This window comes from Homo sapiens, chromosome 12 (genome assembly GCF_000001405.40).
Source record: "Homo sapiens chromosome 12, GRCh38.p14 Primary Assembly".
Taxonomy (NCBI): Eukaryota; Metazoa; Chordata; class Mammalia; order Primates; family Hominidae; genus Homo; species Homo sapiens.
The window spans coordinates 128,791,160-128,812,460 of record NC_000012.12 but is presented as its reverse complement, the minus strand read 5'-3'; the positions used below and the strand labels follow the sequence as shown (position 1 = coordinate 128,812,460).

Here is a 21,301-nt window from a genome sequence, read left to right as displayed (position 1 = left end):
GTAGTGCCAGTTACATGGGGGGCTGAGGCAGGAGAATGGCGTGAACCCGGGAGGCGGAGCTTGCAGTGAGCCGCGATCACACCACTGCACTCCAGCCTGGAAGGTAGCGAGACTCCGTCTCAAAAACGAAAAAATAAAATAAAAAAAAAAAGTTGGGCCTCCAAAGCCTGAGGAAGCATGACATACCCAACATTTTTACAGTTGTGACACTTAATTTCATCTGGCCCAATCTCAGTTTCAATCCAGGTTGATCTGTGTTTTGAAGATAATATAGTGCTTGATATTAAATGAGAAATGAAGGCGTATTTGTTCAACTCATCAGACCAGAGTAGAAATGGTTCTACAGCTTTTTGAGATACATACTTCTTTGGGAATCCGTGAGAACCAGTGGACTCTTTTCCTGGAGAATACACACACCTACATGCGGCCTTCACAGAGACTCAGGCACAGGCGTCCTGAAACTGGAGCTCGTCAACTTGTGTGGGAGGAGCAGAGGGCTCTTGTGGGTGTTCGGGTGTCACTTGTGACCGTGGCTTCGTGTTGGACCCTTGTATGTTGCAAAATAGTGCACCTAACAATATGTGTAACCCAGTAAAGCTTCAGATGCATGTTGATTTCACAGCTTTTAAATATTTTAATTACATAAAGCGAAAGTAATATAACCAGTAACCTGTGTGAATGATTCTTTGTGTGAAAATGGGTTTATTTGTTATTTAAATGTTTTTAGTGAAAGGTATTTAATATGATGTGGTAAACCACTGATAGTATCTGCATTAGGTACAAAAGGACTTTAATTTCCTTTTTGAAAAAAAGTAGTACTTGAAGAAGTTAATGTTTTCGAGTGAAAGTATTTATAATGTCTTTGGAATTTATTTTCACTTTTGGGTGTTTTTGTTTTTGATTATTTTCCCCCACTAGACTAAGTCCGTAAGGACAGGAGCCCTCCCCTTTAGCCCCCAGGTAGAGCAATGCAGGGCCTACAGCAGGTACTCGATCAGTATTTGTTGAATCGAACTTAGTTTTCTTGTCCAAAATTTGGCTAAAATATTCAGTTATAGTTTTCAGCGCTTCTATTTTTCCCCACTCTGAATGTCCAGACTTAAAATGTTGACTTTATAAGATAAAGAATTTAAAATACTGGCACCATAGTAAAATGGGACATGAGTTAATAAACTAGAAGGCTGACAGGTGCCATTTCTGTTGGCTTCCCACAGTTAAACACAATCTTATTGGGAATTAACTCTCTCCTGGTACTTCTGGCTTTAGAGAATAGTGTGCACTTTGTTTTCCCATTTTACCCCTGAGATCCTTGGAGCCCGTTCCCCATTAGAGTGTTTTGGAGCTGGGAGAGAGTGCGGAGCTGTCTAGTGGGGCCTGTTCATTTTCTAAATAATGAAGCAGGCCCAGAGCAAGGAAGTGAAACTCGTTAGTACAAGAGCTGGGGATGCCAGGTCCATGTTCCTGCTGTGACCGGCAGATGTGAGGGCAGTGGCAGGGAGTGGAGGGACAGTGGTGTCCTGCAGGGGTCAGGGCCTCAGGCTGTAAAGCCAAGACTGCCTGGGTCCAAGTCCTGGCCATACCTCAGGCACCCTTCACACTCTCTGTGCCCCGGCATCTTCCTCTGTGCAATAGGGCCCTGAAGAGTTTTAACACCACATGGTTAATGAGGGAGCACATGGGACGCGGTGCACTGGGCACTCCCTGTTTCCTACTGTCAGGGGACAGAGCCAGGGACATCCTCCTCTCATCACCACCAGCACCGCCCTCCCCCAACAGCTCTTCCTTAATCCAAGAGCTGACAGCTTTCCTCCGAGAATAGAAGCCTGCCTCAGTCCTGCCAGTGACTCAGTTTAAACCAGCAGGGTTTTATTAACAGCATGGGTATTGGCTGTCAGGTCTTGATGTTTGATAAATTAGCTGATTAAAAATTCACACAATCCAGTGCATTTTTTCATATGCTATCCAGTGGCATAGCTAGTGTCCCTCCCAGTGTCACGTAGAGCTGCAGACTCTCCCCACACGGAGATTGCCGAGCTGGCAGCTGCGCTGGGGCTCTCAGCTCAGCCGTGGTTCACACTGTCATCACAGATCTTCCAGCCACGCCAAAATTACAGTAGCCCAGTTTCACTTTGACTAGAAAGTCCCTTTGTCAGCTGTTTCAGTACATTCTGTGACATTTAGAAATAATTTAGGTAGCTGTGTTGGGTGTGTACAATTAGTAAGTGATGGAATGAGTTGAAGCAGATTCAATACAGTGAGCTGGTTTCTTACCTCCAAACTTAATTTGTGACCAAATAATTGATTGCTGGGAGGGGAAGAAAACTAATTCCTTCATTTTATTTCCCAAAGTGAAGGCATTGGAGTCTTTCAGCAATCTTCTAAACAAAGTCTGTTTGATTCATGTAAGATGTCTCATGGTGGGCCATTTACAGAAGAGAAAGTGGAAGATGTGAAAGCTCTGGTCAAGATTGTCCCTGTTTTCTTGGCTTTGATACCTTACTGGACAGTGTATTTCCAAGTGAGTGGTGACAAACAGGTTTAATTTCCTTTATCTTCCTATGAAGTCTTACCCTAGCACTTGTTTTGGCCATTTCTAAAGTAGGTAGGACTAGGTGATTTTTTTTCCCATGAGTCTACAGAATCTTGGAATTTTTGGTTTTAGTTATGGAGTCATTTTGGCTGCTTTAACTATGTCTAAAGCCTCTCTGAAAAAGAAGCTGAGAACAGGTACGCTTCTGGTTTTTCAGGCCCCTCTTGTTAATGTAATTTCTCCTTTGGATAACTGGCCATTCTTTTTCAAAATTGATCTCCAGAGGACTTTACGATGACCAAATCATTGACCTGTCTGTTTTCAAACTTGAGCCATTGTCTATTTCTGGGAGTCACTGTGTGTCGCATCTGAGTCTAGCTTAGGGGAGGGGCAGGATGCTTAGAGTGTTTGAGAGCACAGTTGGTCCACATATAATGATACTGTTTTTTATACCTAGATGCAGACAACATATGTTTTACAGAGTCTTCATTTGAGGATTCCAGAAATTTCAAATATTACAACCACTCCTCACACGGTAAGAACAATTGTAATGATCTGAACATTGTTATTTTGGACTTATGTAATAAATGGATTCCTTCTACCAACTGTAAATCTTTTATAAATGTTAACAGCACCGACACAAAAGCATTGTTATTGAAATAGAGTTTTTACTTATTTTAGAGAATATTTTTTCATTGGTTGTATCATTTGCTAGATTAGGTTGACTAACATCAATTCAACATTACTTAGTATTTTTCACCTGATTATTTTCCCCTCAAAACACAGAAAAGCAAATGCAGATTCATTTGGAAAGAAATCTTTTCCCAGTTCCGTTGTCTCTAAACTGAAGAGGTTGTACCTTGTGGAGAGGAACTGTTCTTTACGTGCATTTCTCCCATTGAGACGTTGGTTCTCTAGACAGGTGATGGCCTGTATTGCGGGGAGTAAACGCCTCCTCCTGTGTTTCACCCCAGCTCCCTGCAGCCTGGCTGACCATGTTTGATGCTGTGCTCATCCTCCTGCTCATCCCTCTGAAGGACAAACTGGTCGATCCCATTTTGAGAAGACATGGCCTGCTCCCATCCTCCCTGAAGAGGATCGCCGTGGGCATGTTCTTTGTCATGTGCTCGGCCTTTGCTGCAGGTAAGAGGCATTCTGCTCCGTTCCTCCTCAGGCCCGACTGCAGCAGTTGTGGATTCAGAATATAGTGCTCACACGCAGTCGTGCCCCAGGTTGTTCAGGAAGTGCATGTCTGTAAAAGAGGATGTGTATCAGTTATTTTACAGCACTAATCCTTTATTTTAAAGTTTAAGATTATTTTCCTAAGGATACGTCATTTTTCTGCTGGTACTAAAACCATTGGGTTGCTCTGAAAAGTGACATTTGGACTGAGTTAAAGGGAGGTTTTTCTCTACCTACTGATTTAGAATTAGGCTATTGAATGCTGAATAGATGAATTTTTGTAAATTAAAGGTACTGTATCATCCTCAAGGATGAGAATTCCACCTTCAGATTACTAACCTTAGGTTTATTAACAAGTGTCAGGGTGCCTGCGAGTCCTTTGAATTTTTTATGTAAAATTCTGTGTGCATTTTTCTGGTGACAAAAATGTTTCTAGATTGTTACAGGCTCCTGGGCAGCATCTCCTCCCGCTACAGATAAACCTGATAAGAACAAATGCCTAAGTCTCTAAACTCTGATGAGGAGAGTTATCCTTTTGAGGATTTCCATTCTGTTTTCATAATTTTTATGTGCTGAAATGAGTTGTTTATCTTTTGCTGATAAAGCTGGGTATTGCTGACTTTCTGAATTATTTTGGAGTTCTCCCTTCATTAATATTTGAAAATTATTGACTGATGAAACAGCTTAGTTACATAATAATAAAAGTTGATATTCTTGAACCAACTATGTATTATCTGCTGTCATGAGGAATTCAGTGTTAAGCATTGCTGAAATGGAATTTAATATTCTCAAACAATGCTGCCTTCATAGCAGCTTTCATCTACTTTTGCCAGACTGAATGTATTGATATAGTACTTAATAGATTTAAAGAAATTAGTCCCTGGGCTTAAGAAATCTCTGTTCTAGAGACTGGGACATTTTAGAAGACTATTGCATTTTCTTTTGTTCAAATAGATAATTAAAGTGAGGTCGTGTCTGAATGAAGTTTTTGCTGTGCCTTCTTTATAATTCAGCTTCTCTTCCAGAGCTGTGGCACATGGGGAAATAAGCATGGGCAGAGAAGAACTGAATCACCGCAGGGCTCTAGCTGCAGGCTGCGGTTCAGCAGAGTGCGCCTGCAGAAGGGCTGTCTGCAGGAAGTCTTTGCACTGGAGGCTGTGTCTGCCTGCCTGTCCTACCTCCCCAAAGCGCAGGCTCAGCTTTGGCCTCAGACCTCTCTCTCCCCCCGGGGCTGGAGTGCCTTCTCTGTGCCCCGTCACCACACTGGTTGATGCCAAGGAAGGGAGTCCTCGTTCCCTCCCTGTGGGAAAGGAGACGTCCTTGGTTTCCGGAGGCTTTTCCAGTAGATACTTGGTTTGGGCTCCTTTCCTAACATCCTCTCTTTCAGTTTCATAAATGGCTGAATCACTTCTGTGGGCTGCCTTGAGAGCCATGCAGTCCATTCTGGTGGTTTCGATATGTGTTTGTGCAGGATACAAGTGCCAGACCAGTCACTGTTGAGATTTCCCCATTGCACTCCGTCAGTTCTGTCTTTAAAAAGCGCTAGCAGGCCGGGCACGGTGGCTCACACCTGTCATCCCAGTACTTTGGGAGGCCAAGGCAGGTGGATCACAAGGTCAGGAGTTTGAGACCAGCCTGGCCAATGTGGTGAAACCCTGTCTTTACTAAAAATACAAAAATTAGCTGGCCATGGTGGCGGGCGCCTGTAGTCCCAGCTACTCGGGAGGTTGAGGCAGGAGAGTCGCTTGAACCGGGAGGTGGAGGTTGCAGTGAGCCGAGATCGCGCCACTGCACTCCAGCCTGGTGACAGAGCAAGATACCGTCTCAAAAAAAAAAAAAAAAAAAAGCGCTAGCAAAATCCACAGCACATCAAGTCCAGTATGTACTGACTGGAGTCAGGCAGCCTCTGCACAGTGCTTGCCTTCTTACTGAGTGTTGGCGCCTATGGGGAGGCATGCGCTCTGACCTAGTGTGACAGCAGCAGCTCCAGAGCCTCTGAATTGGTGACATGGAAGTGGAAAGTTCACAGCATGTGTGCGTCCTGAAACAGGCGTTCTTTCCTAAGTGACCCAGTGTTGGGAAGAAGCTTTACCCGCCAGTAGTTGGGAAGAGTTACATATATCTTATAACTTGACATGAGTACAATCTATTAAATTTAATAAAACACCTGCCCATGTTTGATGAGGTTTCATTCCTAGCTCTAGTGAGTATTATTTAGAGACATTAATGGTCTTTGAGTAGAGATTTGAAACCATCATAGCAAACCAAAATTTTAATGGGAAAGAAACTTGATTTTGCTTATAGCTTACCACCTACACCCATAATAAATCTACACCCATAATAAATGATTTTTTTTTCTGTTAATCTTTTCTTAGCTGAAGGGTTGAAAAATGGTATATTATTGTTTTAACACGTTATTAGTGACGTTTAAGATTCTTTCCCAAAATTTATCAAACTTGTCATCTTAGGTGGGTCATGGTTTACCTGGATCCCCATAGAATGTAACTGTACATGGTTATATTCTGTGTACAGTTTGTGTTGTACCCATTTTTGTAATAGGTTTTTCTTTTTTTTTTTTTTTTTGAGACAGAGTCTCTGTCGCCCAGGCTGGAGTGCAGTGGTGCAATCTCAGCTCACTGCAAGCTCTGCCTACCGGGTTCACGCCATTCTCCTGCCTCAGCCTCTCCGAGTAGCTGGGACTACAGGTGCCCACCACCATGCCCGGCTAATTTTTTGTATTTTTAGTAGAGACAGGGTTTCATCGTGGTCTCGATCTCCTGACCTCGTGATCTGCCCACCTCAGCCTCCCAAAGTGCTGGGATTATAAGCATGAGCCACCACACCCGGCCAGGTTTTTCTTTTTTTGTGTTGTTACGTAATAGATCATGATTATTTAAGGATTTCAAATTTTTATCTCTTAGCTTATGGATTTTTTCCCATTTAAAAGATTTTCCCTTGGGAGACCAAGGCGAGTAGATCACCTGAGGTTGGGAGTTTGAGACCAGCCTGGCCAACATGGTGAAACCCCATCTCTACCAAAAATACTAAAATTAGCCATGCGTGGTGGCGCATGCCTTTAATCCCAGCTACTCGGAGGCTGAGATATGAGAATCGCTTGAACTCAGGAGGTGGAGGTTGCAGTGAGCTGAGATCATGCCATTGCACTCCAGCCTGGGCAACAGAGTGAGACTCTGTCTCAAAAAGAAAAAAAATTTCCTATAATTTTATTTATGGAATCTTGGAAAGTTTTATACATTTCTTTAGGTTCTCTACCTTTTATGTTAGGTTTATTGGTAACTACTTTATGTATTTTCAGTTCCTCATATATGGGATTTTATAAAATTCTGTGAGTTTCAGTGAACTATTTTCAAATGGTCATTCTTTGTCTTCAAATAATATAGTTTCTTTTTCTGTCTTTGTAATAATTATATCTCTTTTTCTCTTTTTCTTTGATTCAACGTTAGTCTCATCCTTGATTTTAATGGGACTGCCACTAGTAGCTCACAGTTAAGTTGAAAGTTTATCATTGCTTGTTAAAGTAGGTATTTGTGATGACATTAAACATCTAGCCAGCATGAATGTTGGATTTTTTTGGGGGGGGTATCCAAGGATAATTGCATCTCCCCCCGGCTGCCTTTGGCTTCTCATGTATTTTATTTATATTATTGTATTAGCTTCCTGACATTTAACTATTCCTGCGTTTTAGAAGACAAACCCTGTCTGTTAAAAGAGGCTGATGTTGGTCCTCTGACCTGACTTTGCAGCTGTGTCATTGAGCACGTGTGCGTCTGTGTCTAGAATCGGCCTTCGTCTGCGGTTGTTTTTGGCGGTTTCAGTGAGGTGATACAGCTTCTTAAAAAGAGTTGGTGTACTCTCTTTTTCTCTGTAGGCAGGAGAATATTTTAAGGGGACAATAATTATCTTTCTGTTCTCAAGGAGTTCCAAGCATTTGCCTAGCTTGAAGTCATCTGGAGTCCATTACCTCTCTGAGAAGAAATTTGATAACTTTTTCATTTTCAAGACAGGGTCTCCCTCCCATCACCCAGGCTGGAGTGCAGTGGCGTGATCTCAGCTCACTGCAACGTCCGCCTCCCTGGTTCAAGCGATTCTCCTGCCTCAGCCTCCACAGTAGCTGGGATTACAGGCGCCTGCCACCATGCCCGGCTAATTTTTGTATTTTTAGTAGAGACGGGGTTTCACCATATTGGCCAAGTTGGTCTCGAACTCCTGACCTTGTGATCTGCCCACCTTGGCCTCCCAAAGTGCTGGGATTACAGGCGTGAGCCACTGGGCCTGGCTTTCATTCACTTTTACTTATTCTATTCTATTTAATAATGAAAAGATAATTTAATGCTATGAATTTGCTTGTTATTACTACTTTGGTCAGTTCTTGTGTGCTTTGATTTGTTTTAATGTTCTCTTTCTTGTTTTCTGTGAATATTGAAACTGGTTTTGGTTTTCTTTTTGATCTAAGACTAATTTCAGAGAATTTTTAAGTTTTACAATATTGATGTTTTTGTTTATACTTTTGTTAATGATGGCAAATTTTGTTGAGTCAGGAGAGATTATGGCTTTTATAATTCTTGCATTGGGGATTTCAAGGCTTCCGTTATGGCCAAATATCACTCTCTCAAAATGTTGTAGGTGAATAGCATGATTCATGTATTGTAATACTACCAACGGTATTAATTAGGTCTTTTACAGCAGGAGTCTTAAACTCCAGTACTGGCAGTGGGCCTGAGGCCATGGGGATGAGTGCATGGTCCAAGAATAACACAGTGGGTCTGTGGTGAATGGGAAGGCACAGACAGGTCCTGCCCGAACACTTTCTAAAACACCATGTGGGCTTAAAACATAAGTCTGTCAGAAGGGAGCCCCACGAGGACCCGGATCTTTGTGTCTGTCCAATTCGTCGTGTCGTCCCGGACATGTTGTAGGCCTCAAGAATTATTTGTTGTCATGAAGTCGGTCTGGGGCCTCGCTTTCTATTTGTGTCTGTAGTTTGTAAACTTTATGCCAAATAAAGCTGTATTTTTTTTTTCGTCTACCTGTTCTGACAAGGACAAAAAGAAGTGTATTCCTGTGAGATTCTAGCAGCCAGATGGTATTTTAATTCACAGTAAAGTTCATGATTTGTGTTGTGTCTGGATACTATGTGTCATCCATAGTGAAACAGCCGTTGGGTTGGAAGGTAGCGCATGTGGCATCGTTGAGAGCCGGGTGTGAAGCCTGGCCTCAGCTCTGCCAGTTGTCTCCAAGTCTCATTTTCCTCATCTTCAAATGAGCTTGGGTTATTTCTCCCCCCAGCTTACTGTGAATAATAAATGAGGTGCTGTCTGTGAATCCATCAACAAAAGCGGCTCATCACACAAGGAACAATTCATACATGGCACCTATTGGTTATTTTGGTTTTTGATTCTTTTTCTCTCTTCTTGGTATTTTTGTTGACACCTCTTCCCTTTATGATTGTTTGTCTGATACATCCTGGCCTGTCCTCTCCTTTATTTACAATCTTTGGGTTATATTATGCTTTAGTTCTGTGTATTAACCGTAATACTCAGTTTTGTTTATTTTTTGAACTGATACAAGTGGATGACTTTTATCTGAAGGATTTGGCTCATTTATCCTGACTGCTGTGTTGATTATCCAGCGTCGCATCCCATGCTTGTTTTTACTGGGTGCCCGCTTGCCATGTCACTGTCACTCAGCCTGAACCCTGCTGCTTTTCGGCCTGTCCCAGCCTCTCCAGGGCTCTCAGTTGTTCACAGGCAGGGTCATTTTCCCCATTGGCTTTGCCTCTCCGCCTCGCTCGTGACTGGGGGCACCCGTCCCGATCCTGGTTTCCGCAGTGTTGGCTGTGTGTGCGCCTTTGCCGCTGCTCATCTCTCTGCCAACAGCCTCACCAATAATCAGGCCTATTTATTTTCTCATTTTCTCTTCTCCTAATTCTTGATCTCATCATTTGTGTCTCTCTTAAGCCAACGTCCCCTTAATTTCTTTGTTACCTTTTTCATCCTTAGTCTTCAGAGTCTGTGTTTTCTTGAATAATAAGACAAGTTCTCTGGTAGAACTATGCCAGTAGCAATAGTAGTATCTTTCCCATTCAGGTTATAAAATCTACTTATTGTCCTCCGCATGAGTAACCTTCCCTTGTCCCGCCCCCTGCAGACACTTTGGTGTCATCCTTAGGCTCTCCTCCTCTCCTGTGAAGGAGAAAAGTGGTATTCAGCTTTCGTGTTTATTTCCAAAATAGACCTGAATTTCTGCTTGAGTTGCATAGGTTCTGTTCCCATTCAAGGAGTGGGGACCAGTGTAGTCAGCTATGGTCCCAGGGGAGCAGGTGGGAGCTGAGGACCTTGGGTGTCTAGGGGAAGCCATTGTCACACAGTTCATTCTTCGTGTTTGAAGGCGCTGATGCCAGGGCTAGGGGTGCAGTGCTATGGTTGCTGTCAGCTGCCCTGTCGGGAGGAAGGCTGTCATTTGGGGACAGTCCCTATTGTCACTACCAGCCTTGCCTGATTAAGATGCCCTCAGATGCCCTTTCCAGAACAACTAAGGGCTCTAAATAGTTTGCTGTCCTTGCCTGGGTCTGCGTTTATGTTTCTCCCGTGGAGGGCGGAGTGGAAGGATTGGGTTTCCCTTGACACTCTTCCAGGGTGGGGCTGCAGGTTTTCTGATGGAAGTAAGCTGTGGGTTGGCTCGAAGGTCTCTCTCTACTTTGATCCTGGAGAATGTTTTCACTTTGCTTGGCATTTCAGTTGAGATTTGAGGTGGAAATTCCAGAGTTTGTGTTCTCATCGCCCTATGGATCATATCCTGGTCCTTTCTCATGCTCAGGTTTTAGAAGGAACATTTTTAATATTTTCATTCCATTGCCCTCTGACCAGACCTTTCTTCATACTCATGTTTTAAAATAAACATATTTTACATACGCTTTAAATATTAGGGCCTGTGACCTAATTTGCAATAAGAATTCTTTATAAAATAAAACTTGGTGGTATCTTTAACCTAAGGACTTGGACCTGCGAATAGATGCTTTTACACTTTATTTCCAGTGGCTGATTTTTGTTTATAGAGTAGGAGCTGCTGCCCTTGCTTGTTTTTCTCATGTCTTTCTGTTACACTTGATAGGTGACCAGTAACTTAGCCTGCACCTGCAGTGAGATCTCAATGCTGCTGAGAGCACAGGTTGATTTGTGAAGTCAGCTTACTTTGTTGCAAAGATTAAGCCTACCCTATGCAGGGAAACCAACATCATCATCATCATTATTATCATCATTTGTTGTTATAATAATAAATCAGTAGATCACCTTCGATCCATCACTATGATTGGAAGAACATCTCAGTATTACCTGCTGTTGGGTAAAATAGCACTACTGTTAATTCTACAGTAGGACTTTTTAACTTTCTCCTACTCCCCTTTGTAAGAGACAAACGAGGTATGGGTGAGCAATCCAGATATTTGAGGATTAAATGAAACATGTTGAACATCTGATTTTATATAAGATGCTGTAAAAAGCCGAAGTGAAATAGGTGTGCTATGCCATGACCTCCACTCAGCCTGCTTAGGAGGCTGAAGGCTGGGGGCCTATTAGTCCTGGGGGAAGCTGTGATTAGACGTGGTCCTTTCACGCATCAGAATCACGTTTGCTACGAAGTCTCGTAGCCAACATCAGATTTTTAGATTAACTGTAAATGTTAATAAATGAATATTACACTAACCTACTTTTGAATTCTAGGAATTTTGGAGAGTAAAAGGCTGAACCTTGTTAAAGAGAAAACCATTAATCAGACCATCGGCAACGTCGTCTACCATGCTGCCGATCTGTCGCTGTGGTGGCAGGTGCCGCAGTACTTGCTGATTGGGATCAGCGAGATCTTTGCAAGTATCGCAGGTGAGGACCTTTAGTGCCGGAGGTGTCTGAGTCCAGGCACAAGCGTGAGCGCTCGGGCATTCTGACTGTGCTGTTGGAATATGTTGAGACAAGGATAGCACAGCACTTCTGTAGTTTTTGGCAGTGTGTGGTTTAGAATATGAATCGCTAGGTAAACACACCAGTGCTGAGGTTCTCCATTCTTTGTGTAAAAACAGTATCGCAAAATATTTTCATGAAAGTTTGTTAACTACCTTGTAAGTGCCACAGGACAGAGAAGAAGAAAGCAATCGTGGTTGGATAGTTCCCAGCGGAGCCCTCGGCCATGCTGCCGTGGTGGCTGGGCTGAGCTCACAGCTCTCAGTGCGCTTCGTTTAGATGTACGTAAAGAAGCAGATCTAATTTTTAGAAACGTGTTCTCACAGGCCTCCCTTTTCCTATTAGTGAGATCCTGCAGTGGTTGAACAAGTGTATTCTGGGCAGATCTGTCCGGCTGCTGAGAGTGAGAGAGAAGAGAAGATGAGTGATATGCAGAGGTGGATGGATGTGTGGGTAGTAGTCAGTGGTGGTTTTCACTGTAGAAAACTCATCCAGAATTGGCTAATGAATTTGTAAAGGGAATAAATCACAACGGAATGGACTTCTATTTAGAATACACTACAAATCTCCGTGTCTAGTTATAAAAATCTAAATTTATAGATGGGCCTGCCAAAATAGTTTTGAAGTCTATTGCCCTTGTCACGGTGGCTCATACCTGTAACCCCAGCACTTTAGGAATCCGAGGCGGGTGGATCACCTGAGGTCAGGAGTTCGAGACCAGCCTGGCCAACATGGTGAATCCCTGTCTCTACTAAAAATACAAAAAATTAGCCAGGCATGGTGGCACGCACCTGTAATCCCAGCTACTCGGGAGGCTGAGGCAGGAGAATCGCTTGAACCAGGGAGGCGGAAGTTGCGGTGAGCCAAGATCCTGCCATTGCACTCCAGCCTGGGCAACAAGAGCAAAACTCCGTCTCAACAAAAAAAAGATAAAGTATATTGCCTCTGAAATAGAATCCTTATGTAGATTTCCCAGTTTAGTGTGTGTACTTTGTTTTCAAACTCCCATTCCTTGACAATATAGGAAAATTTTTTCTCTAATCTCTTTAAGGAACACAAAAGTCTAAGAGCCAACAAATCACATTACCTTTAAGCTTGAGAGCAAGGAGTTTAACTTTCTGCTCATTGAATTTATTAGGAATTATCCTAATGGCTAGGAGAATGAACAGTTGGCCCATAGCCATTGATTCTTGGTCGCTAGTAAGCATCGTCCTCCTAATAGAAAAGAGGTTGTGCCTGTCTGCAGGACTCAGTCCCTAGGAGACCCCACGCTTCCTCTGCTATATTAGGTGAAAGCTTTGATCCCATGTGTTAAAGTGCCCCTTTCACAAAAACGACCCTCCCTTTTCTTTCCTCAGGCCTGGAATTTGCATACTCAGCTGCCCCCAAGTCCATGCAGAGTGCCATAATGGGCTTGTTCTTTTTCTTCTCTGGCGTCGGGTCGTTCGTGGGTTCTGGACTGCTGGCACTGGTGTCTATCAAAGCCATCGGATGGATGAGCAGTCACACAGACTTTGGTAAGAGCCAGCATCCTGTCCCTTTTGAAAATAGCCAGTGAGGGGGAGGCGCAGGCACTCAGGAGATGGCTGAGTGAGCGGAGGTGTTTTCACGTGGATGGCCTGTCCCGAGCTGCCTGTCCACCGCTCCTTCCACAGCACTGCTCTGTGCTGCTTGCATCACTGTGTTTCCTTACATCATGAACGGTTTTCAGGAGACAAGCAGGCCTCTCTTCTCATCCCAGGGGCCAAGCCTGCCCTGGCCACAGCCCAGCGAGCAGCTGCTGCAGCCACCGCTCCTTACGGGGACGTCCTTGACAGACAAGCACCTTCTCCACGCCCGTCCAGCTCAGTCTTCGTGAGGCAGCTGAATCTGTACCCCAAGCTTCCCTTTCTTTAACTTGGTGGTGTACTTTCGTTTTCTTTTCCTAACAGCACCTTTTCTGATACGAAAAAGACAAGATAGATAGTAAGTTACTTTTAAAAATAAACATATTACTTGTGATCAATCATAATGGGTTTTTACAATTAATACCAGTAGGTGGCATCTTGAGTGTTGAACAGAACCACTCATAAAAGCTGAGTTTTGCTTTCTCCAGGTTTACGATGCCTTTAAATGGACCCAGCAAGCGAAGGTTTCTTCTTTCTTTTCCTTTGTAAAAATATTTTATCTACAGAAACAACCTTGTTACTTTTTCTTGTATAATCATGTGGCATTTGCTCTGGTCCGGTAGTACTTAGCCACTTTTAGGTTACAAATCCCCTTGAGAATCTGGTGAACGTTTAGGGACTTTTCTGCAGAAATTGCAGAATTCCCAGAGCCCTTCCATGAGTATAGGCCTGTGGAGTCCTAATGTAAAGCCCAGAACTCCAAGCCACCAATGTCCCATGGACACTTGTCACTGATGTTTTCTGGCTGTGGGTGCCACCTCCATGGCCAGCTCAGGGCTGCTTGCTCTGAGGAGGACATGTGGATTTGGGGCTGGTGTTTCATTCCCACCTTCTCCTGAAGATGAACAGCCCGAGGAATAAGATCCTCTTGTGGTACATGGGACAGACTTCCTTCAAAGAAAGACCAAAGTCCATAGTTCTGAAGACGAAGATTCTGGTTCTTGGTTTTTGTTTTATCTTTAAATGTGTCATAAAGGATTGGCTGGTCATTCTCGTTGCTTTCTAGTCATTTAATCCTCATTCTTAATTTAATTTCACATCTCAGAGTTGACCTTTCATTCATCATTTCTGTCTGACAGGTTGTTTGTGGACTTCCCCTGCATTGGTGCTCTCAGGGCGTGTGTGCTGGGGATGGGCCAGGATCTGTCTGTTGTTTTCAAGAATGGGAAATGTTTCATGAAGGAGGCGTGTTTGCCAGCAGCCCCCAGGCTGTGCCCCCTGGCTGCATGGCAGCCTCCTTGGTTCACACCAGTAAGGAGAGTTGGAGCTCATCTGTCGAGCAGCCCTTGGCGTCCTGGGTAGAGAAATAAAGGCTGTGACATGGGAAATCCACAGGAAGCCCGCTCCTCAGAGAGAGTTCTCCCTGAATTTGTGTGGCCTTGGAAGGAGCAGCAGCTCTCAGGCCAGGTTCCGGGGGTGTCTGTGCCACCCTTATCCCTGGCCCTACCTCACCATCTCGTGACCGACACAGGAAATAGCTTTCTGTAAAGTCACAGCACTGTGAAGGGAGAGTCCCCAGAGTTTTGTTACATTGTGTTTTTCTTACCGACCTCCCAGCAGGCTCCTTTTATTAGTGTTATTTAAGCTGGGGAGAACGTGCATACCATAGTAAAGGTCTCTAATCTTAAGCACAGCTTGCTGTGTTTGCAGTCTGGATCTCAGTGGAGGAACTTTTGGAAGCCCTCCTTGCCTCTCTCCTTAGTTTACTGCCCCCCTCAGAAGGTAAACCTGTTCTATTCCAGCGTTGGTCCCCACAGGTTACCCTCGCCTGTCCTGTGCTGGGCTGTGGCTGTCTCCTTTCACTTAGCACTTCTGTCTGTGAGCATCTCCCCTGTACTTCTGAGTACTGCTCCTTCGTACGAGCCGTCACGAGGCATTTATCCATGCTGTTGTCGGTGGGTGCCCAGATGTTGGCAGTGTGGGGCTGTTGTGAATACCTGCCCTGCCTGTGAGCCTGGGGGGCGGGTGCGCTCATTCCTTGGGGACCCAAGAGTCTGTCTTGTCAAATGTCAAAACCCTAGTGTTTGCCATCTTCCTGTGTAATTATCCTTCTGTCTGTGAAGAGGCCCAGGAATGCACGGCAGGTTTTCTCCCAGGCGACTTAGGCGTTTCCGAATACCCTGTGTAATGCCACCCTGAGACAGACCCTGACGAGGCGTGGTGTGTCTGCCTGCGGGCTTGGACCGCACCTCCACTCCCGCAGGGCCGCGCAGCCTTCAGTTCATGTGGCCTCAGCCTTCAGTTCACGTGGCCTGCCAGCTTTAGCTCGGGAAGTTTTCAGTGACTGGTACATTTGGGGAGACTCGTATTTCAAAATAGGCACATAAAATGATGTCGTTTATATTTTGATGACAACCTCGTCTCAGTAGCGTCAAATGCCAGTGTTGGGACAGCAGTGACAGCTAGTGCCAGGCTCCAGGAAGCTGGGGTTTGCATTTCCACTGAGTGCCCAGGACAGAGCCTGGTAGGTCGTAAGGGTTGAACGAATAGTGTAAAACATCTGTTGAAAAAATAAAGCTTTAGTCTGGTAGAATTCAGGGTATTAGCAGCTGTCTTTCTAAATCAGTAGACACAGGAAATGATCTTCTTTAATTGGTGTGAATGAGCACTCTTTAAAAATGTGTGAGATCTCACCATACAGATGTGTGGGTTTTTTTTTTTTTTTTTTTTTTTTTTTTTGAGATGGAGTTTCACGTTTGTTGCCCGGGCTGGAGTGCAGTGGTACCATCTTGGCTCACTGCAGCCTTTCACCTCCCGGGTTCAAGTGACAATTCTCTGGCCTCAGCCTCCCAAGCAGCTGAGATTACAGGCGCCAGCCACCACGCCTGGCTAATTATTTGTATTTTTAGTAGAGACGGGGTTTCATCGTGTTGGCCAGGCTGATTCTGAATTCCTGACCTCAGTTGATCACCCACCTTGGCCTCCCAAAGTGCTGGGATTACAGTCATAAGCCACTGCGCCTGGCCCAGACGTGTATTATATTGTGTTTATTTGATAAATGCACTGTTGAACATGCAGTATATGTTCAGATAGAAAAAGGAAGTGCCAGAATAACCCAGCTTTAAAAAGGTCTTCAGAAGAAAGGAAGTCTCACTTTTTAAAATAAACAAATGAGAAAGTGTTTTTGAAGAGGAGCAGAAAATGGAGCAACTTGATTCCAGAGCACTCGCTCCCCTCGTGATGTTGCCGGCCACACGCACCTGCGACCTCGTGCAGAAACGTGCAGCAGTGCTTTCCAGCTGGTGGCAGGTGATGTACATGGTACGGAGACAGAGGGACGCCATGGTGGCAGGAGCAGCCGTGGTGGAGAGCACAGGGCGACACTCGGCTTGGCCTGGATGACCAGTCATGACGAGCTAAAAGTCCTGCCGTTTTCTGCTCACACGTCGTTCCCACGTCTGCACATTGAGTGGTGATGTTAGCCGGTGCTGGCTGAACTCTGTTCTCTGGCGGAGAGACTGCCAGTTTGCAGAGTGGACAGTTCCAGACCTCTGTGAAAGGGGGATCATGACCGTGGCACGTGTTGCTAGCACCCTCACCGCGTCCAGACTCCCTCTTGAGTGCCTTTCTGAAATGCTGCTCCTCGGCGCTTTCCCCATTTTACAGATGAGGAAACTGAGCACAGAGGTCTCAGAGGCCGGATTCAAGCCTTATAGCTTGAGCTGCATGGCCCATGATCTTATCCTCTGTGCTGTCCAGCCTGCTTGGGATGCAGACGTTGCGTGTAAAGTGCCTCCATAGTGCCCGGGACTCGGTTGGGTATTCAGTGTATGCTAACTCTTTGTATTAAAGTATGCAGAGGTATCTGCTTGTGTCAGTTTGAGGATGCTAAAACCTGAACATGTTTAAGACACATTCAGAAACCAGCTCATCTCTTCCTTTGATACATTGCCCAGCTGTCGGCCCTGGTGTGTTGGGTGTGTCAGTGACCCATGCAGTGAATCCAGAATTCACGATGTTCAGGCTGTGTCATAGTGCAATCTGTGATGCTAAAAAGTGCACAGGTTCCATAGCCAAGTTACAAAGACGCTCACCTCAGGATTCGATAAAGAGATAGTCAGGCGCTCTTTTGTTATCTTCGCATCTGCCTTCCTCAACAATGCAGTTCCAGGCCAATCATAACTATAAATGGAGGAAGTTCCCCTGAAGTAGTTGAGGAGAGGAACACTGCCTCAGAAAAGGCAGGAAGGAAATAACACCAGACCGGCTAACACTTGTTTCTGGTGGCAAGAACACAGGAAGGTAATTTTTTACTTTGCCCAGCTGTTCTGGTGTGGGGGGATTAGCAGTCACAGGAGGCTGGGTTGGCAGGTTTCCCCTTGCTCCTGATTTGCAGCCTTGTCGTGCGGCCTTAGGCACACTCTCCGTCGACACTGTCCCCTTCACCACCGCATGTGTGTCTGCAGGCCACGCAGGGATTTTCCTGAGTACTGGGGAGCTACCTTTTCTAGTTTCCTCAGGGAACCTCCTCCTTTTACCTTACAGAAGAGAGGGATGGGCTGCTAGGGGCAGGTGGGGGGCTGCAGACAGCCCACCTCCAGAGCCCCCGGTGGCGATGTATCTGACTTCAGGGAGCTTCTTCAGTGGTTTTGAAAGCAAGATGCTTGTGCATTTTGGACTACAGAGACAACATTTGTTACTTTTTTTATGACTCCAGTTAAACCTTAGTGGGAACCAGATTAAATAGTAAAGTCTTGAAAAAATACCTGTAGCAGCGCAGCTTACCTGCCGCTTTCCTTTTGTTTTCTCCAGGTAATATTAACGGCTGCTATTTGAACTATTACTTTTTTCTTCTGGCTGCTATTCAAGGAGCTACCCTCCTGCTTTTCCTCATTATTTCTGTGAAATATGACCATCATCGAGACCATCAGCGATCAAGAGCCAATGGCGTGCCCACCAGCAGGAGGGCCTGACCTTCCTGAGGCCATGTGCGGTTTCTGAGGCTGACATGTCAGTAACTGACTGGGGTGCACTGAGAACAGGCAAGACTTTAAATTCCCATAAAATGTCTGACTTCACTGAAACTTGCATGTTGCCTGGATTGATTTCTTCTTTCCCTCTATCCAAAGGAGCTTGGTAAGTGCCTTACTGCAGCGTGTCTCCTGGCACGCTGGGCCCTCCGGGAGGAGAGCTGCAGATTTCGAGTATGTCGCTTGTCATTCAAGGTCTCTGTGAATCCTCTAGCTGGGTTCCCTTTTTTACAGAAACTCACAAATGGAGATTGCAAAGTCTTGGGGAACTCCACGTGTTAGTTGGCATCCCAGTTTCTTAAACAAATAGTATCACCTGCTTCCCATAGCCATATCTCACTGTAAAAAAAAAATTAATAAACTGTTACTTATATTTAAGAAAGTGAGGATTTTTTTTTTTTTAAAGATAAAAGCATGGTCAGATGCTGCAAGGATTTTACATAAATGCCATATTTATGGTTTCCTTCCTGAGAACAATCTTGCTCTTGCCATGTTCTTTGATTTAGGCTGGTAGTAAACACATTTCATCTGCTGCTTCAAAAAGTACTTACTTTTTAAACCATCAACATTACTTTTCTTTCTTAAGGCAAGGCATGCATAAGAGTCATTTGAGACCATGTGTCCCATCTCAAGCCACAGAGCAACTCACGGGGTACTTCACACCTTACCTAGTCAGAGTGCTTATATATAGCTTTATTTTGGTACGATTGAGACTAAAGACTGATCATGGTTGTATGTAAGGAAAACATTCTTTTGAACAGAAATAGTGTAATTAAAAATAATTGAAAGTGTTAAATGTGAACTTGAGCTGTTTGACCAGTCACATTTTTGTATTGTTACTGTACGTGTATCTGGGGCTTCTCCGTTTGTTAATACTTTTTCTGTATTTGTTGCTGTATTTTTGGCATAACTTTATTATAAAAAGCATCTCAAATGCGAAATCCATGAGCCGGTTCTTTGCGTGGTTTGTCCTCAGTCGCTGCTGGTGTGGCGTGTGGATTCCTCCCCTGTCGTGTAGAAGGCGCAGAGCTTCCCGAGTCGGGAACTGAGGGGAGGGTGGGGAAGTGCGCTCCTGCACAGCCCTCGGATGCTCCGGCGCGTCTCCTGATTCTGCAGCCTCCTCTGCATGGAAGGGTAGTTTCAGCATTTGGAGAAGACAAAAAACAAACCAAAAAACCCTCACGTTGTTGTTCGTTGTGTAATAGAAAGTATAGAAAAACTATAGAAAAATACAAGACATTTCAACCAGTGGAAGTAGGATAGAGTGAATACAGATGACACTCATGGTATCACTGGATCTCAGAGGGGCCGGAGTTGTGAGCCCAGGTTAAAAAAAACGGGGCAGGTTTCGAAAAGCCTTGTGCTACGAAGGATACCACTTTCCGGAGACAGAACTCATGTCTTCAGGATATATCACATGTAAAAATAACCCATGGTGTCAAACAGATTTTCTTCATAAGGCCTTTGCACAAAAGGGGAAAGGCAGGTGGCGTCGGGAGAGCTCTCGGATCCTTCCTCCGGTGCGTTGTGCCCTTGATGCCCCGGGCTGTGTGAACGGTGAGTGAGTAACCACATCCATCCGCTCCGTCTGTCCCGCCAGCCCCTGCTCCTAGCTAGGTGCACCCTCGATGTTACGAGGGAAATTCTCTCCAGAAAGTCAGTTGGAGGGTTGACAGAGTCATCAGGGTACCAGCCTGTGATATTGTGATGAGATAAGAAACAGATGTGGTCTGGGCCCTAAATCCCTGGGACAGAACTCCTGCAACCCCTGTAGATAGGGCACGAGGAGAAGCCCACATTTTCATATTTGCTCTTTGACCCCTTGACCCCAGCTCCTGGCCTAGAGCTGCTAAGGCCTTTGTAATTTCCTGGGTGATGGGAGCATCTTTTGTTCTAATGAGGCCATCTGTGGTGGCTCCTGGACAGCCTCAGGAGAGGGGGTGCTTGCTCGGGGAACCAGTCTGGTGATTGGAGTGGGGGGACTTTCAGCCCTCCCCCTCCCCCACCTCCAGGAAGTTGGGGGGGTGGGGGTAGAAGGTGGAGTCGATCACCAGTGGCCAGTGGTGTGTCATCAGTCATGACTACGTAATGAAGCCTCCATAAAACCCCAGAGGCCTGGGGTTCTGAGAACTTCCTGGTTGCTGAACTCATGGGGGTTCCCCGAGGGTGGCACACCCAGCGGGCATGGGAGCTTCCCGGTCCCCTTCCCACACACCTCACCCTGCACACCTCCATCTGCCGTTCCTCTGTGCCCTTGTCACAGCCTTGATAATAAACGGGCACGCGTGAGTAAAGCGTTTCCCGAGCTCAGAGCTGCTCTGGCAAATCAGCTGAACCTGGAGAGGGAGTTCCTGCTCTGTAGTTGGTCAGAAGCGTAGGTGACAGCCCACTACTTGCGCCTGGCATCTGCCGGGGCGGGCAGCCTCGTGGGCCTGAGCCCTCAGCCCTGGGATCCTGATGCTGCCTCCAGGTGGGTGGTGGCAGGGCATATGCCAGGATATTATAGGATGCTCAGTGTCCGCCGGAGCATCGTGTGACGTGGGGAAGGAGAGCCACTTTCCCATCCTGCATCAGAAGTGTTCTGTGAGAGTAAAGACTGTTTTTTTATCAGACAACTTTTTACATTTTCTTCTGAATTTAGATAGTTGATCAGGTTCACCCTACAGCATGAAGCGGTGATTGAATAAATAAGCATGAAACATGTGCCTGCCCTGAAGACGTCGGTGTGTGTGTAACTGGCTTTTCTTGGCCTCATGAAGCAAACGTCTTCTCGCTCCATGTGAAGATGCTCAGCCAGACTTTCTTTTCGGGGAAGCTGGGCAGGACAGAGCTTTTCATTTCTCCACAGTGTCATGGGCAGATGGGGAGAAAAAGTTCTTAAGACTGACAGGGACCCACTGGGCCTGTGGTCAGTGATCCCAGGGTGAGACTGCGACCGCATGTCCTGCCTGAATTTGCGGACGGGCTGTACAAGTACAG

The 21,301-nt window shown here is 45.3% G+C and overlaps 1 protein-coding gene across 7 annotated transcripts in view, besides 11 other annotated features; it reads left to right on the top strand.

The window, feature by feature from the left end:
* SLC15A4 (solute carrier family 15 member 4) overlaps positions 1-19,267 on the top strand; it is a 30,765-nt gene extending 11,498 nt beyond the window's left edge. For 2 of the 7 annotated variants that reach the window (XR_007063043.1, XR_007063045.1), the window contains exons 3-9: positions 2,350-2,518; positions 2,988-3,065; positions 3,505-3,673; positions 11,452-11,607; positions 13,044-13,202; positions 13,397-17,594; positions 18,105-19,267. Coding sequence is in view for 3 of the 7 variants with exons in the window: in NM_145648.4 (NP_663623.1) it covers positions 2,350-2,518; positions 2,988-3,065; positions 3,505-3,673; positions 11,452-11,607; positions 13,044-13,202; positions 18,105-18,265 (892 nt within the window). In the remaining 4 variants the exon portion in view is untranslated. Of the gene's footprint in view, positions 1-2,349; positions 2,519-2,987; positions 3,066-3,504; positions 3,674-11,451; positions 11,608-13,043; positions 13,203-13,396; positions 17,595-18,104 lie in introns of those variants that run through there. The other 5 variants (NM_145648.4, XM_011537895.2, XR_007063044.1 and 2 more) reach the window with 4 other exon arrangements.
* Positions 256-325: an enhancer, noted in NCBI's record as "active region_7334". NCBI's record gives its function as "activates an Ori minimal core promoter by ATAC-STARR-seq in GM12878 lymphoblastoid cells {active_cell/tissue: GM12878}" and the evidence as "EXISTENCE:reporter gene assay evidence [ECO:0000049][PMID:35858748]".
* Positions 1,560-1,659: an enhancer, noted in NCBI's record as "active region_7333". NCBI's record gives its function as "activates an Ori minimal core promoter by ATAC-STARR-seq in GM12878 lymphoblastoid cells {active_cell/tissue: GM12878}" and the evidence as "EXISTENCE:reporter gene assay evidence [ECO:0000049][PMID:35858748]".
* Positions 9,028-9,527: an enhancer, noted in NCBI's record as "H3K4me1 hESC enhancer chr12:129287479-129287978 (GRCh37/hg19 assembly coordinates)". NCBI's record gives its function as "activates a minimal SCP1, AML or CMV promoter by ChIP-STARR-seq in naive H9 embryonic stem cells {active_cell/tissue: H9 hESC(naive)}" and the evidence as "EXISTENCE:reporter gene assay evidence [ECO:0000049][PMID:30033119]".
* Positions 9,528-10,029: an enhancer, noted in NCBI's record as "H3K4me1 hESC enhancer chr12:129286977-129287478 (GRCh37/hg19 assembly coordinates)". NCBI's record gives its function as "activates a minimal SCP1, AML or CMV promoter by ChIP-STARR-seq in naive H9 embryonic stem cells {active_cell/tissue: H9 hESC(naive)}" and the evidence as "EXISTENCE:reporter gene assay evidence [ECO:0000049][PMID:30033119]".
* Positions 14,098-15,297: an enhancer, noted in NCBI's record as "BRD4-independent group 4 enhancer chr12:129281709-129282908 (GRCh37/hg19 assembly coordinates)". NCBI's record gives its function as "activates an origin of replication core promoter dependent on BRD2, P300/CBP, MED14 and CDK7 cofactors, and independent of BRD4, by STARR-seq in HCT116 cells {active_cell/tissue: HCT116}" and the evidence as "EXISTENCE:reporter gene assay evidence [ECO:0000049][PMID:35650434]".
* Positions 14,663-14,957: an enhancer, noted in NCBI's record as "tiled region #7648; HepG2 Activating non-DNase unmatched - State 15:Elon, and K562 Activating non-DNase unmatched - State 15:Elon". NCBI's record gives its function as "activates a minimal TATA promoter and a strong SV40 promoter by Sharpr-MPRA in HepG2 cells, with weaker activity in K562 cells {active_cell/tissue: HepG2 | K562}" and the evidence as "EXISTENCE:reporter gene assay evidence [ECO:0000049][PMID:27701403]".
* Positions 14,951-15,180: an enhancer, noted in NCBI's record as "active region_7332". NCBI's record gives its function as "activates an Ori minimal core promoter by ATAC-STARR-seq in GM12878 lymphoblastoid cells {active_cell/tissue: GM12878}" and the evidence as "EXISTENCE:reporter gene assay evidence [ECO:0000049][PMID:35858748]".
* Positions 17,178-17,317: an enhancer, noted in NCBI's record as "active region_7331". NCBI's record gives its function as "activates an Ori minimal core promoter by ATAC-STARR-seq in GM12878 lymphoblastoid cells {active_cell/tissue: GM12878}" and the evidence as "EXISTENCE:reporter gene assay evidence [ECO:0000049][PMID:35858748]".
* Positions 20,093-20,593: an enhancer, noted in NCBI's record as "H3K4me1 hESC enhancer chr12:129276413-129276913 (GRCh37/hg19 assembly coordinates)". NCBI's record gives its function as "activates a minimal SCP1, AML or CMV promoter by ChIP-STARR-seq in naive H9 embryonic stem cells {active_cell/tissue: H9 hESC(naive)}" and the evidence as "EXISTENCE:reporter gene assay evidence [ECO:0000049][PMID:30033119]".
* Positions 20,382-20,541: an enhancer, noted in NCBI's record as "active region_7330". NCBI's record gives its function as "activates an Ori minimal core promoter by ATAC-STARR-seq in GM12878 lymphoblastoid cells {active_cell/tissue: GM12878}" and the evidence as "EXISTENCE:reporter gene assay evidence [ECO:0000049][PMID:35858748]".
* Positions 20,592-20,681: an enhancer, noted in NCBI's record as "active region_7329". NCBI's record gives its function as "activates an Ori minimal core promoter by ATAC-STARR-seq in GM12878 lymphoblastoid cells {active_cell/tissue: GM12878}" and the evidence as "EXISTENCE:reporter gene assay evidence [ECO:0000049][PMID:35858748]".